The sequence below is a fragment of the Homo sapiens genome, chromosome 19 (genome assembly GCF_000001405.40).
Source record: "Homo sapiens chromosome 19, GRCh38.p14 Primary Assembly".
NCBI classification, from domain to species: domain Eukaryota; kingdom Metazoa; phylum Chordata; class Mammalia; order Primates; family Hominidae; genus Homo; species Homo sapiens.
Window position 1 is genome coordinate 44,684,486 of NC_000019.10, and position 13,612 is coordinate 44,698,097.

At 51.0% G+C, this 13,612-nt stretch overlaps 1 long non-coding RNA gene across 1 annotated transcript, besides 5 other annotated features; it reads left to right on the forward strand.

Annotated features, from left to right (window-relative positions):
* On the forward strand, nucleotides 553-4,059 carry LOC107985306 (uncharacterized). The gene is made up of 3 exons (XR_007067268.1): nucleotides 553-1,745; nucleotides 2,358-3,531; nucleotides 3,747-4,059. It is a non-coding gene; the product is annotated as an uncharacterized LOC107985306 (long non-coding RNA).
* Nucleotides 612-906: an enhancer, noted in NCBI's record as "tiled region #3873; HepG2 Activating DNase matched - State 23:Low, and K562 Activating DNase unmatched - State 5:Enh". NCBI's record gives its function as "activates a minimal TATA promoter and a strong SV40 promoter by Sharpr-MPRA in HepG2 and K562 cells {active_cell/tissue: HepG2 | K562}" and the evidence as "EXISTENCE:reporter gene assay evidence [ECO:0000049][PMID:27701403]".
* Nucleotides 4,722-5,223: an enhancer, noted in NCBI's record as "H3K4me1 hESC enhancer chr19:45192479-45192980 (GRCh37/hg19 assembly coordinates)". NCBI's record gives its function as "activates a minimal SCP1, AML or CMV promoter by ChIP-STARR-seq in naive H9 embryonic stem cells {active_cell/tissue: H9 hESC(naive)}" and the evidence as "EXISTENCE:reporter gene assay evidence [ECO:0000049][PMID:30033119]".
* Nucleotides 5,224-5,723: an enhancer, noted in NCBI's record as "H3K4me1 hESC enhancer chr19:45192981-45193480 (GRCh37/hg19 assembly coordinates)". NCBI's record gives its function as "activates a minimal SCP1, AML or CMV promoter by ChIP-STARR-seq in naive H9 embryonic stem cells {active_cell/tissue: H9 hESC(naive)}" and the evidence as "EXISTENCE:reporter gene assay evidence [ECO:0000049][PMID:30033119]".
* Nucleotides 7,949-8,018: an enhancer, noted in NCBI's record as "active region_14765". NCBI's record gives its function as "activates an Ori minimal core promoter by ATAC-STARR-seq in GM12878 lymphoblastoid cells {active_cell/tissue: GM12878}" and the evidence as "EXISTENCE:reporter gene assay evidence [ECO:0000049][PMID:35858748]".
* Nucleotides 12,233-12,838: an enhancer, noted in NCBI's record as "H3K27ac-H3K4me1 hESC enhancer chr19:45199988-45200593 (GRCh37/hg19 assembly coordinates)". NCBI's record gives its function as "activates a minimal SCP1, AML or CMV promoter by ChIP-STARR-seq in naive H9 embryonic stem cells {active_cell/tissue: H9 hESC(naive)}" and the evidence as "EXISTENCE:reporter gene assay evidence [ECO:0000049][PMID:30033119]".

The window sequence follows — 13,612 nt, forward strand, 5'->3', positions numbered from 1 at the left end:
GTAGGAGGGGAAGAAAGGAGCCATGTGGGGCTCTGGAGGAAGAGCATTCCAGACAGAGGGAATAGCCAGTGCAAAGGCCCTGGGGCAGAAGCATGCCTGGCATATTCAAGGAGCAGCAAGGGGGCTGGGCATGGTGGCTCACACCTATAATCCCAGCACTTTGGGAAGCCAAGGCAAGCAGATCATTTGAGGTCAGGGGTTCAAGACCAGCCTGGCCAACATGGTGAAACCCCTTCTCTATTAAAAATACAAAAATTAGCCGGGCATGGTGGTGGGCACCTGTAATCCCAGCAACTGGGGAGGCTGAGGCAGGAAAATCACTTGAACCCGGGAGGCGGAGTTTGCAGTGGGCCAAGATCGTGCCCCTGCACTCCAGCCTGGGTGACAGAGCAAGACTCCACCTCAAAAAAAAAAAAAAAAAAGGAGCAGCAAGGAGGCCAGTGTGGTGGAGAGGGTGGGGAAGGAGGAAAAGGTGGGTGGAAGTTGACGTCAGGAGATGGACGGAGGGGCACATGGCGCAGGGCCAGGTAAGGCACTGCCGAGACTGTGGCTTTGAGGGGCAGGGTGCTGTGAAAGGCGAATAACGGCCCCCCAGTGACGTCTACATCCTAATCCCCTGTGAATGTTACGTTATATGACAAAAGAATGCAGCCATGATTAAGTTCAGGATCGTGCTTTGGGGAGATTATCCTGGATTGCCCTGGCAGGCTCTTTATGTAATCACACAGATCCTTATAATCGAGAAGGACACAGGAAGCGTGAGTCAGAGGGGCTGTGACAACAAAGGAAGCAAAGCCCTTTGAAGACGGGAGAAGGAGCTGAAAGTCAAGCAGCACTTCAGAGTCAGAATGATTGAGTGTGAGAGAGTCCATGGGCCATCGTGAGTGTTGAAGACGGAAGGGGGCCTTGAGCTAAGGAATGCAAGAAACTTCTAGAAGCTGGAGGAGGGCCAAGCTCAGTGGCTCACGCCTGCAGTCCCAGCACTTTGGGAGGCCAAGGTGGGAGGATCGCTTGAGGCCAGGAGTTGGAGACCAGCCTGGGCAACATAGCAAGACCCCGTCTCTACAAAAAAAAAAAAAAAAAAAAACAGAACCGAGGGTGGTGGCTCATGCCTGGAATCCCAGCACTTTGGGAGGCCGAGACAGGGGGATCACCTGAGGTCAGGAGTTCAAGAATCAGCCTGGCCAAGATGGGGAAACCCCGTCTCTACCAAACATAGAAAAATTAGCCAGGCGTGGTGGCGGGTGCCTGTAATGCCAGCTACTGGAGAGGCAGAGGCAGGAGAATCGCTTGAACCCAGGAGGCGGAGGTTGCAGTGAGCCAAGGTTGCACCATTGCACTCCAGCCTGGGTGACAGAGCGAGACTCTGTCTTAAAAAAAAAAAAAAAATCAGAATTGAGGAAAGGCAAGAAAATGGATTTTCTTCCTACAACCTCCAGAAAGCAACACAGTCCCGCTGAAACCTTGGCTTTAGTGCAGTGAGACCCATTTTGGATTCTTGACCTCCAGAACTATAAGATAACAAACTTGTGTTGTTTTAAGCCACTAAATTTGTGGCAATTTTTTACAGGAAATGGGAAACTAATCTAGAGGATGAGGAAGAAATCACAGAAGGAGAAGTTGCGTCTCATGCTGACTCAGTATGCAAATACTCTCTGGGAGACTTCTCCATCCTCAGACCGCTCCAGACACCAAATGCCTGGGCCTTTGACCGCCTTGCTAAGAGGGTCAACCAAGCCAGCCAGGTAGCCAGGGCTCAGGGCTAGGAGTGTGAGGGGATTCCATCTTTTCTCTCTCTTTTTTTTTTTTTCTTTTTTGAGACTTTTCTTTTTTGAGTCTTGCTCTGTCGCCGAGGCTGGAGTGCAGTGGTGCGATCTCAGCTCACTACAACCTACGCCTCCCAGGCTCAAGCAATTCTCCTGCCTCAGCCTACCAAGTAGCTGAACTACAGGTGCACACCACCTCACCCGGCTACTTTTTTTTTTTTTTTTGTATTTTCAGTAGAGACAAGTTTCACCATGCTGGCCAGGCTGGTCTCAAACTCCTGGCTCTGCAGACAGGAGGACTGAAATCCATGGTGGCAGACGCCTATAATCCCAGAACTTTGGGAGACCAAGGCAGACGGATTACTTGAGGTAGGAGTTCAAGGCCAGCCTGGCCAACATGCTGAAATACAGTCTCTACTAAAAATACAAAAATTAGCCGGGAGTGGTGGTAGGTTGAGACAGGAGAATCGCTTGAATCCGGGAGGCAGAGGTTGCATTCAGCCGAGGTCATGCCACTGCACTCCAGCCTGGGCAACAGAGCAACACTCTAGAACAAAACATTGACAGAATTTGTTTCTGGTTTGGATACAGGGGATTGGAGAGAAGAGTGTGCCAATAATTGGTTTGTTCATCAATTCAATGAAGATTTATTGAGCATCTGTTGTGGACAGCCCTATTCTAGGTTCTGGGGAGACAGCCATGAATGAGACAGTGATGGCTGCTTTTGGAGAGCTGACCTTCTAGTGGGAGACAGGCCACAGAAAAACAAAGCACATGGAACATAATGTCAGGGATGACGATGCTGTGAAGGAATGGAGCAGGTGCTAAGAACCTACTGGAACGGGCATGCTTAAGAGGTGCTGGAGAGGGTCAACTCTTGGGTGACTGCTTCGAGCAATGGGAGGGTGGGGAGCAGGGGTGTTGTACACACTGCGACAGGGCCAGGTTTGCAAAAGAAATCAAGACATGGCCACACAAACACTTCTGTGTGACTGTTCACAGCAGCATTATTCACAATAGCCAAAAGGTAGAAATAACCCAAATGCCCATGAACAGACGAATGAGTTCTTTTGTTTATTTGTTTTGTTTTGTTTTTGTTTTTGAGACAGTCTTACTCTGCTGCCCAGACTGGAGTGCAATGGCGCAATCTTGGCTCACTGCAACCTCCACCTCCTGGGTTCAAGCCATTCTCCTTCCTCAGCCTCCGGAGTAGCTGGGACTACAGGCGCCCACCACCACGCTTGGCTAAGTTTTTGTATTTTTAGTAGAGATGGGGTTTCACTGTATTAGCCAGGATGGTCTCGATCGCCTGACCTCGTGATCCGCCCAACTCGGCCTCCCAAAGTGCTGGGATTACAAGCGTGAGCCACCGCGCCCGGCACGGTATTTTTACTGTATCTTTTCTATGTTTAGGTACACGAATATTTATCATTGTGCTACAATTGCCTACAGTTTTCAATGTAGCCACAGGCTATGCAAGTTTGTCACCTAGGAGCAATAGCCTGTACCTATACCCTAGATGTGTAGCGGGCTCTACCATCTAGGTTTGTGTAAACACATTCTGTGATGTTCACACAACAATGAAATCGCCTAAAGACTCATTTCTCAGAACATATCCTCATCATGAAGTGACGCATGGCTGTATTATCCAGTGGAACATTATTCAGCCATGAAAAGAAATGAAGCCCTGACACATACTGCAGCAAGGATGACCCTGAAAACGCTGTGCTAAGTGAAAGAAGCCAGACGCAAAGGACTCCATATGGTAGGGTCCCATTGCTATGAAATGCCCAGGCAATTCATCAAGACAGAAAGTGGATGTAGTAGTTGTTGGGTTGGGAGGAAGGGCGGAATGGGGAAGTGACTGCTCATGGATACAAGCTTTCTCTTAGGGGTGATAGGATGTTCTCAATGTTTTGTTTGTTTGTTTTCTTTTGTTTTGTTTTGTTTTTTGAGATGGAGTCTTGCTCTTTCACCCAGGCTGGCATGATCTCGGCTCACTGCAACCTCCGCCTCCCGGGTTCAAGCGATTCTCCTGCCTCAGCCTCCCGAGTAGCTGACATCACAGGTGTATGCCACCACACCTGGCTAATTTTTGTATTTTTAGTAGAGACAGGGTTTCACCATGTTGGCCAGGCTGGTCTCGAACTCCTGAGCTCAGGCAATCCGCCCACCTCAGCCTCCCAAAATGCTGGGATTACAGGCATGAGCCACGGCATCTAGCCATGTTCTCAAATTGATTGTAACGATGGCTGCACAACTCTGTGAATTTACTAAAAGCTATTGAATTGTACACTTTATTTTGGTTTTGTTTTCATTTTAAGAGACGGGGTCTTGCTCTCTCGCCCAGGCTGGAGTGCAGTGGTTACGATCTGGGCTCATTGCAGCCTCAACCTCCTGGGCTCAAGTGATCCTCCTTCCTCAGACTCCTGAGTAGCTAGGATTACAGGCGTGCACCACCACGCCCGGCTAATTTTTGTATTTGGCAGAGACGGGGTTTCACTGTATTGTCCAGGCTGGTCTCGAACTCCTGACCTCAAGTGATCTGCCTGCCTTGGCCTCCCAAAGTGCTGGGATTACAGGTGTGAGCCATGGCACTCAGCCCGCATTGTATACTTTACATGGATGAATTGTGTGGTATGTGAATTACACCGCAAAACCGTTTAAAAAAGAAGAAAGGGTGGAGCCTTTCTGAACCTATTCTGGTTCAGAGGCTGCCAGATTCGCAAAATATTTTTTAAAAGAAAGAGAGAAATGGGGTGGGGGAGGGAGGAGGAGTGTGGGGGGGAAGAGGTGGAGAAAGAAAAGAAAGAGAAAAAAAAGAAAGAGAGAAAGCAAGCGGGGAGGAAAAGAGGGAGCGAGGGAGTGGGGAGAGAAAGCAGGCGGGTTTGAGAGGTCAGTACTGAGTCGGCAGGAGGGGATAGCTGGAGACCGGGGTCGGGGTGTGTGAGTGGGGACAGTGAACATAAGTGCATCTTGTAGCACCTGATTCATTGTCACTCCAGAAATGTCACCTTCTTTCACTGTTTGGGGTTTGTGCTTATTGGGTCGTCACTATTGCCAGACTTGCTGCAAGAGAGGGTCAGCCCTGAGCCAGCAGGGGGCAGCAGAGCACCACACAGATCATGCACAAGCGCTGCAGCTACCTTGAGCCCCCCCATGCGCCCACCCCGTCTCTGCCCCTTTCTTTACCCCTCTGGGAACCCAGAGAGTCTATCCAGCTCTCCAACCCCAAACCTGGACACCTCCCTCCCCACTCTCACGGCAGGCACCAGGCCCTGCCCTCCAGGCCTCTTGAACTTGGCCTTCCCCAGTACCTGCAGCCCAGCCCTGGGCCAGGCAGCTTCTCTCCCCTCCCTGCCCCAGCCTCCCGCCTGGACTCCTCCCCACTCCCATTCTCCTACCACAGAGCAGCCCAAGGGATCTTTCTAAAGCCCAAACTCAACCTAGCCCCTTCCTGCTCAAAACCATCCATGGCTCCCCAGTGCCTTAGAGTCCAAGCTCCTCACCACTGCCTCCAACGCCTGCAAAGTCCAGGGGACGCTCAGTCTCATCTCTCAGCACCCACCGCCCTCTCACCTTCACCCCTGGTCTACAGTCCCCCAGATTTAACTTCTTTCTGTTTCCCCACACACTGTGTTCCATCTCACTTCCAGGCCCTTGCACACCCCCAGGCACACAGCTCCACTCTTCCTGCCCACCCCATTCACCCTCCAAGTCTCAACTCATACACCTCCTCCTCCAGGAAGCCCTCCTTGACCTCCAAGCTGGGTCAGATCTCTCCTGTGAGCTCACCTACCCCAGCCCCGCCCAGTCTGGGCCATCACTGCCTGGGGATGGGTCTGTCCCGCTGAACTATGAGCCCTATAAGCACAATTGCTATCTCCATCACTGAGGGGCTCCCAGCACTGACCAGCACAAGGCAGAGGCCCAAGGAGTGTGGATGCTCATTATACACATCCTTCCCTTTCCCAACCTAGCAGTCCCCATTCATTCATTGACAAACGTCTGTTGAGCAACTACTATCACCAAACTCTGTTACATGAACTTGACTGGCATGAGAGAGGTGAAGATAAACCAGCCCAGCTCCTACTCTCAGGGAGCTTGAGGTCTAGTAGGGGAGATGACCTGGAACTCAATGTAATAATAATAATTAATAATAAACATTACCGAGCACTTATTATACGCCATGCACTATGCTAAGGGCTTTACATTTATTCACTGATATCCTCACAACGGTTCTGTGAGTGAAGTTATACCATTGAAAGTAATGGCAAAGCCAGGCGCAGTGGCTCACTCCTGTAATCCCAGCACTTTGGGAGGCCGAGGCGGGCAGATCACCTGAGGTCAGGAGTTCGAGACCAGCCTAACCAAGATGGAGAAACCCTGTCTCTACTAAAAATTAGCTGGGCATGGTGGTGCATGCCTGTAATCCCAGCTACTTGGGAGGCTGACGCAAGAAAATCGCTTGAACCCAGGAGGCGGAGGTTGCGGTGAGCTAAGATCGCGCCATTGCACTCCAGCCTGGGCAACAAGAGTGAAACTCTGTCTCAAAAAAAAAAGTAATGGCAAATTGGCTGGGCGCAATGGCTCACTCCTGTAATCTCAGCACTTTGGGAGACCGAGGCGGGCAAATCACAAGGTCAGGAGTTTGAGATCAGCCTGGCCAACATGGTGAAACCCATCTCTACTAAAAATACAAAAAATTAGCTGGGTGTGGTGGCAGGCGCCTGTAATCCTAGCTACTCAGGAGCCTGAGGCAGAAGAATCGCTTGAACCAGGGAGGCAGAGGTTGCAGTGAGCCGATATTGTGCCACTGCCCTCCAGCCTGTGGGACAGAGCAAGACTCCGTCTCAAAAAAAAAAAAAAAAGTAATGGCAAAAGCCACAATTACTTTTGCACCAACCTAGTACTGTGATTATCCCCATTTTACAGATGAGGAAACTGAGGTTAAGTAAGTGAAGCTGACCAGGCAAAGTGGCTTATGCTTTTAATCCCAGGACTTTAGGAGGCAAAGGCAGAAGGACCGCTTGAGCTCAGAAGTCCAAGATGAGCCTGGGTAACAGCGAGACCCAGTCTGCACACACAAAAAAATTTATTTATTTACTTTCATTTATTTATTTATTTATTTATTTTGAGATGGAGCCTCTCCCTGTCACCCAGGCTGGAGTGCGGTGGCACGATCTCGGCTCACTGCAACCTTTGCCTCCTGGGTTCAAGCGATTTCTGGCTTATTTTTGTATTTTTAGTAGAGACGGGGGTTTTACCACGTTGGCCACGCTGGTCTTGAACTCCTGACCTCAAGTGATCCACCCACCTCGGCCTCTCAAAGTGCTGGGATTACTGGCGTGAATTACCGCACTGGGCCAAAAATATTTAAAAATTAGCCAGGCGTGGTGGTGTGTGCCTGTGGTCCCAGCTACCTGGGAGACTGGGGTGGAAGGACTGCTTAACCCCAAGAGGTCAAGGCTGCGGTGAGCTGTGATTGTGCCACCACACTCCAGCCTGGGCGACAGAGCGAGACTCTGTCTCAAAAAAAAAAAAAAAAAGGTGAGGTCACCCAGGGTATCAGTGGACAAGCTGAGAACAAAACCAAAGTTTCTAACACCGAAAATTTGTCTTCTGCTCATCCCAGCCTGAAAGGAAGGTGAACCAAGATGCAATCCATGCCCATTCAAGTGGGGTCTGTGTGTCCAGGCAGAGGTGTCTGCCCTCTACAAAGGGCACAGGGGAGAGAGTGATGCTTAACCCAAAGGAGGTCTCGCTGATGGTGGAATTTCAGGCACCGTGTTTATGTTTGGCCTAATTAGCTTGAGACCAGTGTCCTTGACGGGAACTAAGACGCCCCCCACGCCCATCCCCGGCTCCCAGGCTCTCTCCACCCAAGTTCTGCCCACCAGGGCACACTGCTTCCCTCTGCCACCTCCTCTTCCCACGAGCCCTGGTACACCCTAGATTCTCAGGGCTGTGGCTCCTTGCTTTACAAATGAGTAAGTTGGTGGCAGGGAAGGAAGTGGGCTGGGCCATGACCAAGAGTCACTATGATTCACGGGGAAAACCCTGCCCTCCCGATTCAACTCTGTGTGCAAAAAGGTTTTGTGCGGGTTCCTAGGGTCTCAGGGTCAATGGATGTAGATAGACCACTAGAGGTATACACAGCCACTGTCCACCAACTCTCCCACCCCCCGGGTCTGCCTACAGCCCTGGATGGGGATCCTGTACCGGGGGGGCGGTTGGGGGGTTGGACAGGTGTGGGTTGAGGTGTTGTTTACATGTTGAACACACTGGGGTTCCAGGTAAGTTTCCGTCAGAAGAAAGCACTTCACTGCTGAGGCAGAAATTTCAAAATATTGAACCACTTTTCGATCCTGGCAGAAGGGAATTTTCCCAGGGTGATAAAAGTGTTCTAAAATTAGATTTGAGTGATGGCTGCCCAAAAGGAATTATGATATTATTCAAGAAATCATGGCTTTGCTGAACAACAGAAAACTCGAACACTGAGCATTTGAAGATATTAAGGAATTGTTGATTTTTATGTTCACTGTTTAGGTGAAATGATAGCATTGTGAGTGTGTTATTTTTAAATGAGTCCTTATCTTTTAAAGATACAGGCAGAAATAGCTATAAAATGATCTGATGGCTGGGATTTGCTTTCAAATAATACAGGAGAGGGCCGTGGGTGAGGAGAGGGAACCAGATTGCCTATGAGCTGAGTGATGGGTATGTGGTTGCGAGGGCAGACACCATTCTTCTCTCTGCTTTCGATGGGTGCGTAGAATTTCCCATAATAAAAAGTGGTTTTTAAATTGTTTTGACCATTGGCCTCGCGCGGTGGCTCACGCCTATAATCCCAGCACTTTGGGAGGCAGAGGCAGGCAGATCACTTGAGGGCAGGAGTTCGAGACCAGCCTGGGCAACCTGGTGAAACCCCATCTCTATTGAAAACACATAAAAATTACCCGAGTATAGTGGCATGCGCCTGTAATCCCAGCCACTCGAGAAGCTGAGGCAGGAGAATCGCTTGAACCCGGGAGGCAGAGGTTGCAGTGAGCTGAGGTCGTGCCACTGCACTCCAGCCTGGGCAACAGAGCGAGACTCCATCTCAAAAAAGAAAAAAAAAATTGTTTTAACCATTCTAAAGGAATGAGAAAAGAATTCTACAACTTTTGTTTTTTTGTTTTTTTTTTTGAGACAGAGTCTCACTCTGTCCCCCAGGCTGGAGTGCAGTAGCGTGATCACAACTTACTGCAGCTTCCATCTCCTGGGCTCAAGTGATCCTCCTGCCTCAGCCTCCAGAGTAGCTGGAATTACAGGCATGTGCCACCATACCTGGCTAATTTTTTTTTTTTTTTTTTTGAGATGAAGTTTCACTCTTGTTGCCCAGGCTGGAGTGCAATGGCGGGATCTTGGCTCACTGCAACCTCTGCCTCCTGGGTTCAAGCGATTCTCCTGCCTCAGCCTCCCCAGTCGCTGGGATTACAGGCATGCGCCACCATGCCCAGCTAATTTTGTATTTTTAGTAGAGACGGGGTTTCTCCATGTTGGTCAGGCTGGTCTCGAACTCCCGACCTCAGATGATCTGCCCGCCTCAGCCTCCCAAAGTGCTGGGATTATAGGTGTGAGCCACTGTGCCCAGCCTTTCTTTTTATTTTATTTTTAGTAGAGATGGGACTCACTATGTTGCCCTGGCTGGTCTGAAACTCCTGGGCTCAAGCAATCCTCACACCTCAGCCTCCCAAAATGCTGGGGTTACAGGAGTGAGGCACCATGCCCAACCCAGGCCTAACCATAATTCTAAATCCAAGTCCAACCCCTTCCCACTTTCCTGAAGGGAAAAATGAGGTGCAGAGAGAGGAAGGAACCCCTAACCAGGTCCCTTTAGGGTCCCAAGAGAACCCTGGCACTCTCTGCTGGCCTCCATCCCCCTAACTCTGCCCTTCACTTCCTCCCCTCCAGCACCTTCCAGAAAAGCTCTAGGTGGCTAGTCCCCCTCTGACCACCTTCTCCCACTTTCCCCTGCCCCTCACTCAGCTCCAGTCACACCAGGCTCCCTGCTGTCCTTATGCTCATCAAAGCCCCTCCTGCCCCAGGGCCTTGAATTCACTTGTTGTACCTTCTACCAAAAACACTCTCCTCCCACACACCCACAGGCTCCCTCCTCTGTCGCCTCCTTCAGGCCAGAAAAAGCGCCACCACCACCACCTCCCAAACTAAAACAGCAACCCCTGCTCCTCTCTATCCACTTGCCCTATTTTATTTAATTTTATTTATTTTGAGACACAATCTCACACTGTTGCCCAGGCTGGAATGCAGTGGTGCAATCTCAGTTCACTGCAATCTCCACCTCTTAGGCTCAAGCAATTCTCCCACCTTAGCCTCCCAAGTAGCTGGAATTACTGGTGCACACCACCACCACGCCTGGCTAATTATTGTACTTTTTTGTAGAGATAGGATCTCACTGTGGTGCCCAGGCTGGTCTCAAACGCCTGGCCTAAGCGATCCACCCACCTTGGCCTCCCAAAGTGCTGGGATTACAGGCGTGAGCCCCTGCACCTGACCTATTTTACTTTTTATAGCTTTTATCTCTGCCTGACATTAAATGCCATATCAGGTTTTTTTTATTATTATTATTGCCCATCTCCCTCCAATAGGATTTAGCCCAACAAAGGAAAGGATGTCTCTGTGCAAACAGCCTGGTACATAGTCCATGCTTGACAAATATTTGTTAAATGATTGAATGGCTTGGAAAAACCCAGATGAATGAGGTGAGGAGGGTGGGGACGGGTATCCAAGCACAGGGAACAGCCTATGGAAAGGTCTGGAGCTTCTCCGATCCACCTGCCTCCTCTCCTGCATGGAAGCCTAGGTGCTTTTTTTTTCTGAGACAGAGTCTCACTCTGTCACCCAGGCTGGAGTGCAGTGGTGTGATCTCGGCTCACAGCAACCTCTGACTTCCGGGCTTAAGTGATTCTCCTGCCTCAGCCTCCTAAGTGTCTGGGATTACAGGTGCCCACCACCACACCGGGCTAATTTTGTATTTTTTTTAGTAGAGGTGGGGTTTCTCCATGTCGGTCAGGCTGGTCTCGAACTCCCGACCTCAGGTGATCCACCCGCCTCGGCCTCCCAAAGTGCTGGGATTATAGGCGTGAGCCACCACGCCTGGCCACCTGGGTGTTCTTTCTAGGGTCAGGAATTAAGGGGACATTTGGTCCTTTCTCCCCAAGAACAACCTCTCCAGGCCCAGCCAGAGCCAACTCCAGGCCTTGACAGGCCGGCACAGGAAGCCACACCCTGAGCAAATATGACGGCCCCCTCTGCCTCGCCCAAGATAAGGGGAGGTTGAAAGGGGTTTGGAAACCTGCTTCAGCCTAAGACATTAGCTCCAGCCAAACCCTCAGTCTCAAGGCCTCCCCACCCCTGCCCAGAGAGGACAGGACAAGGATTCTGCCACGGAGGCCCAAGTCTGACGTTTACATCTAATATATATTGATGATGTCAGTGGTGGGCAGGGTCTTGAAGAGCAGATAAAGGAGTTCCCAGCCTCCCTCCCGCTCCCAAGGAAACTAAGTGACTGGTGAGACAAGAGGGCTGGGCGGGCAAGGGGTGACCCTGACCAAACAAGGTCATAGACCCGTGTCCCCAGATGGCTGTGCAGAGAAGATAAGACTCATCTGCTCCAATCTTATGAGGCAATGGCCCGGGGCCTCAGTTTACTTGTCTGCAAAATGGGTTTTCTTGGGGGTGGGCAGCGGGGAGATGGATAACAGGAAAAGCTGAAGCTGTCAAAAAGAATAATGGGCCAGGCACGGTGGCTCACACCTGTAATCCCAGCACTTTGAGAGGCCAAGGCAGGTGGATCACTTGAGGTTAGGAGTTTGAGACCAGCCTGGCCAACATGTCAAAACCCTGTCTGTACTAAAAATATTAAAATTAGCCAGGCATGGTGGCGCATGCTTGTAATCCCAGCTACTCGGGAGGCTGAGGTGAGAGAATCGCTTGAACTTGGGAGGTGGAGGTTGCAGTGAGCCAAGATCGCACCACTGCACTCCAGCCTGGATGACAGATCAAGACTCCATTTAAAAAAGAAGAAGAAGAAGAAGAAGAAGAAGAATGATATCAGCAGAATACATCTACAAGCTGACCACTTCTCCCATCCCTGGTTCAGCCGCCACTACCTCCTGCCTGGTCCAGCACTACCCAACAGGAGCAAGAGTGGAGCCGCAAACACAATTCAACCTTTTCCAGCCTCATCTCATGAAGAAAGGTGAAACGAATGTATTTAACACAACATATGCAAAATGTCATTTCAGCACAGAATCAATATAAAAAACTGATTATCTGTTTTACATTATTGTGTATGCATGCGCTCTTTTTTTTTTTTTTTTTTCTTAATGAGACAACAAGGTCTTGCTCTGTCGCCCAGGCTGGAGTGCAGTGGTGAGATCACAGCTCACTGCAGACTCAACCTCCTGGGCTCAGGCGATCCTCCTACCTCAGCCTGCCAAATAGCTGGGACTACAGGCGTGCAACACCACTCCTGGCTCATTTTTAAATTTTTTTGTAGAGACGTGCTCTACGCTGCCCAGGCTGGTCTCGAACTCCTGGGCTCAAGCCATCCTCCCGCCTCAGCCTCCCAAAATGCTGGGATTACAGGTGTGAGCCACCGCGCCCGGCCCCCCTTATTGAACCTCTACTCCAATGTCGCTCTGACAATGTCGCCTTGCTGCCCTGCATAAACCAGTGCCCCGACCACCTCCATCCCTTCCCCTGCTTTATTTTTCTCCACAGCATTGTCCCCACCTGTTCTAACACTGCTCATGTTTGTATTCGTCTATTAACTGTCTCCCCAATCAATAGGTCAGCTCTGTGTCTACCGTATTCACGGCTGTAACCCCACAGCGCCTAGCGCAGTGCCCGGCACATAGTTGGTGCTCCATAAACATTTGTCAAATGGTGGAGGAACAACGACCACTGTGCCCCCAGTACGTGCTCTGAGGCAGGCCCGGCACGGAACACTCCATGTGCCTATTTTGATCCTCAGAAGAGTCCCAGGGAAGTCAATGTCATGAACACCCCCCACCCACTGCACAAACAGGAAAAAGCCCCTGCCCACAAGAACCCCGTCTGCTTTCTGCGCAGCCCGGCGGCGCACAGCAGGTGCTAAAGAGCCTGCAGCTCTTGACTGAACCAAGGATCTGGGCTCACAGCCGGGAGCACCAGAGGAGGGGCCAGGGAGGTGGAGGATGGGGGCAGACTAGGAAGGGTGGATGTGACGATAGAGGGCCTCTAGAGCCCGGCCTGGTCACACTCCGCAGGCAGACAGCAGATCACCAGGAACCTGAGCCTCTCTGAAGACTCCTCTCTCTGTGTCATCCACACCTGGTGTCCAGTTCCACAAACATGCTGTGAGCCTCTGCTCTGTGCCAGGTGATTTGCTGGGCAGTGCTGGGGACACAGTGGTGACAGCCCAGCCGTGCCCAGCTGAGGCTCCCAGGCCAGTGGGGGAAAAAGACCCAGCCCCAGACAGCGAGAACCCAAGGCAGTCAGGGCTGAGACAGGGAATTCCAGGCCCTGAAGTCCAGGAGGGCTTCCTGGAGGAGAGGGTTTGGGGAAGGCAGTGGAATAGAGCAGAGGGAAGCAGGGATATTCTGGGTAGAGTGCAAGTGAAACAGAAGAACTGAAGCAGAGGGTTCCCGGAAGCAAGTGGTATTCTATGTAGCTGGTCAGGTGGGCAGGAGTCAGGCCGGGCAGGGCCTCCTGGGCTACAGTGAGGAACCTGGGCTTCCTCCCAAGGGCACTGGGGAGCCACAGCAGGTTCTGAGCACGGAGGGGCAGAGGCAGGTTTT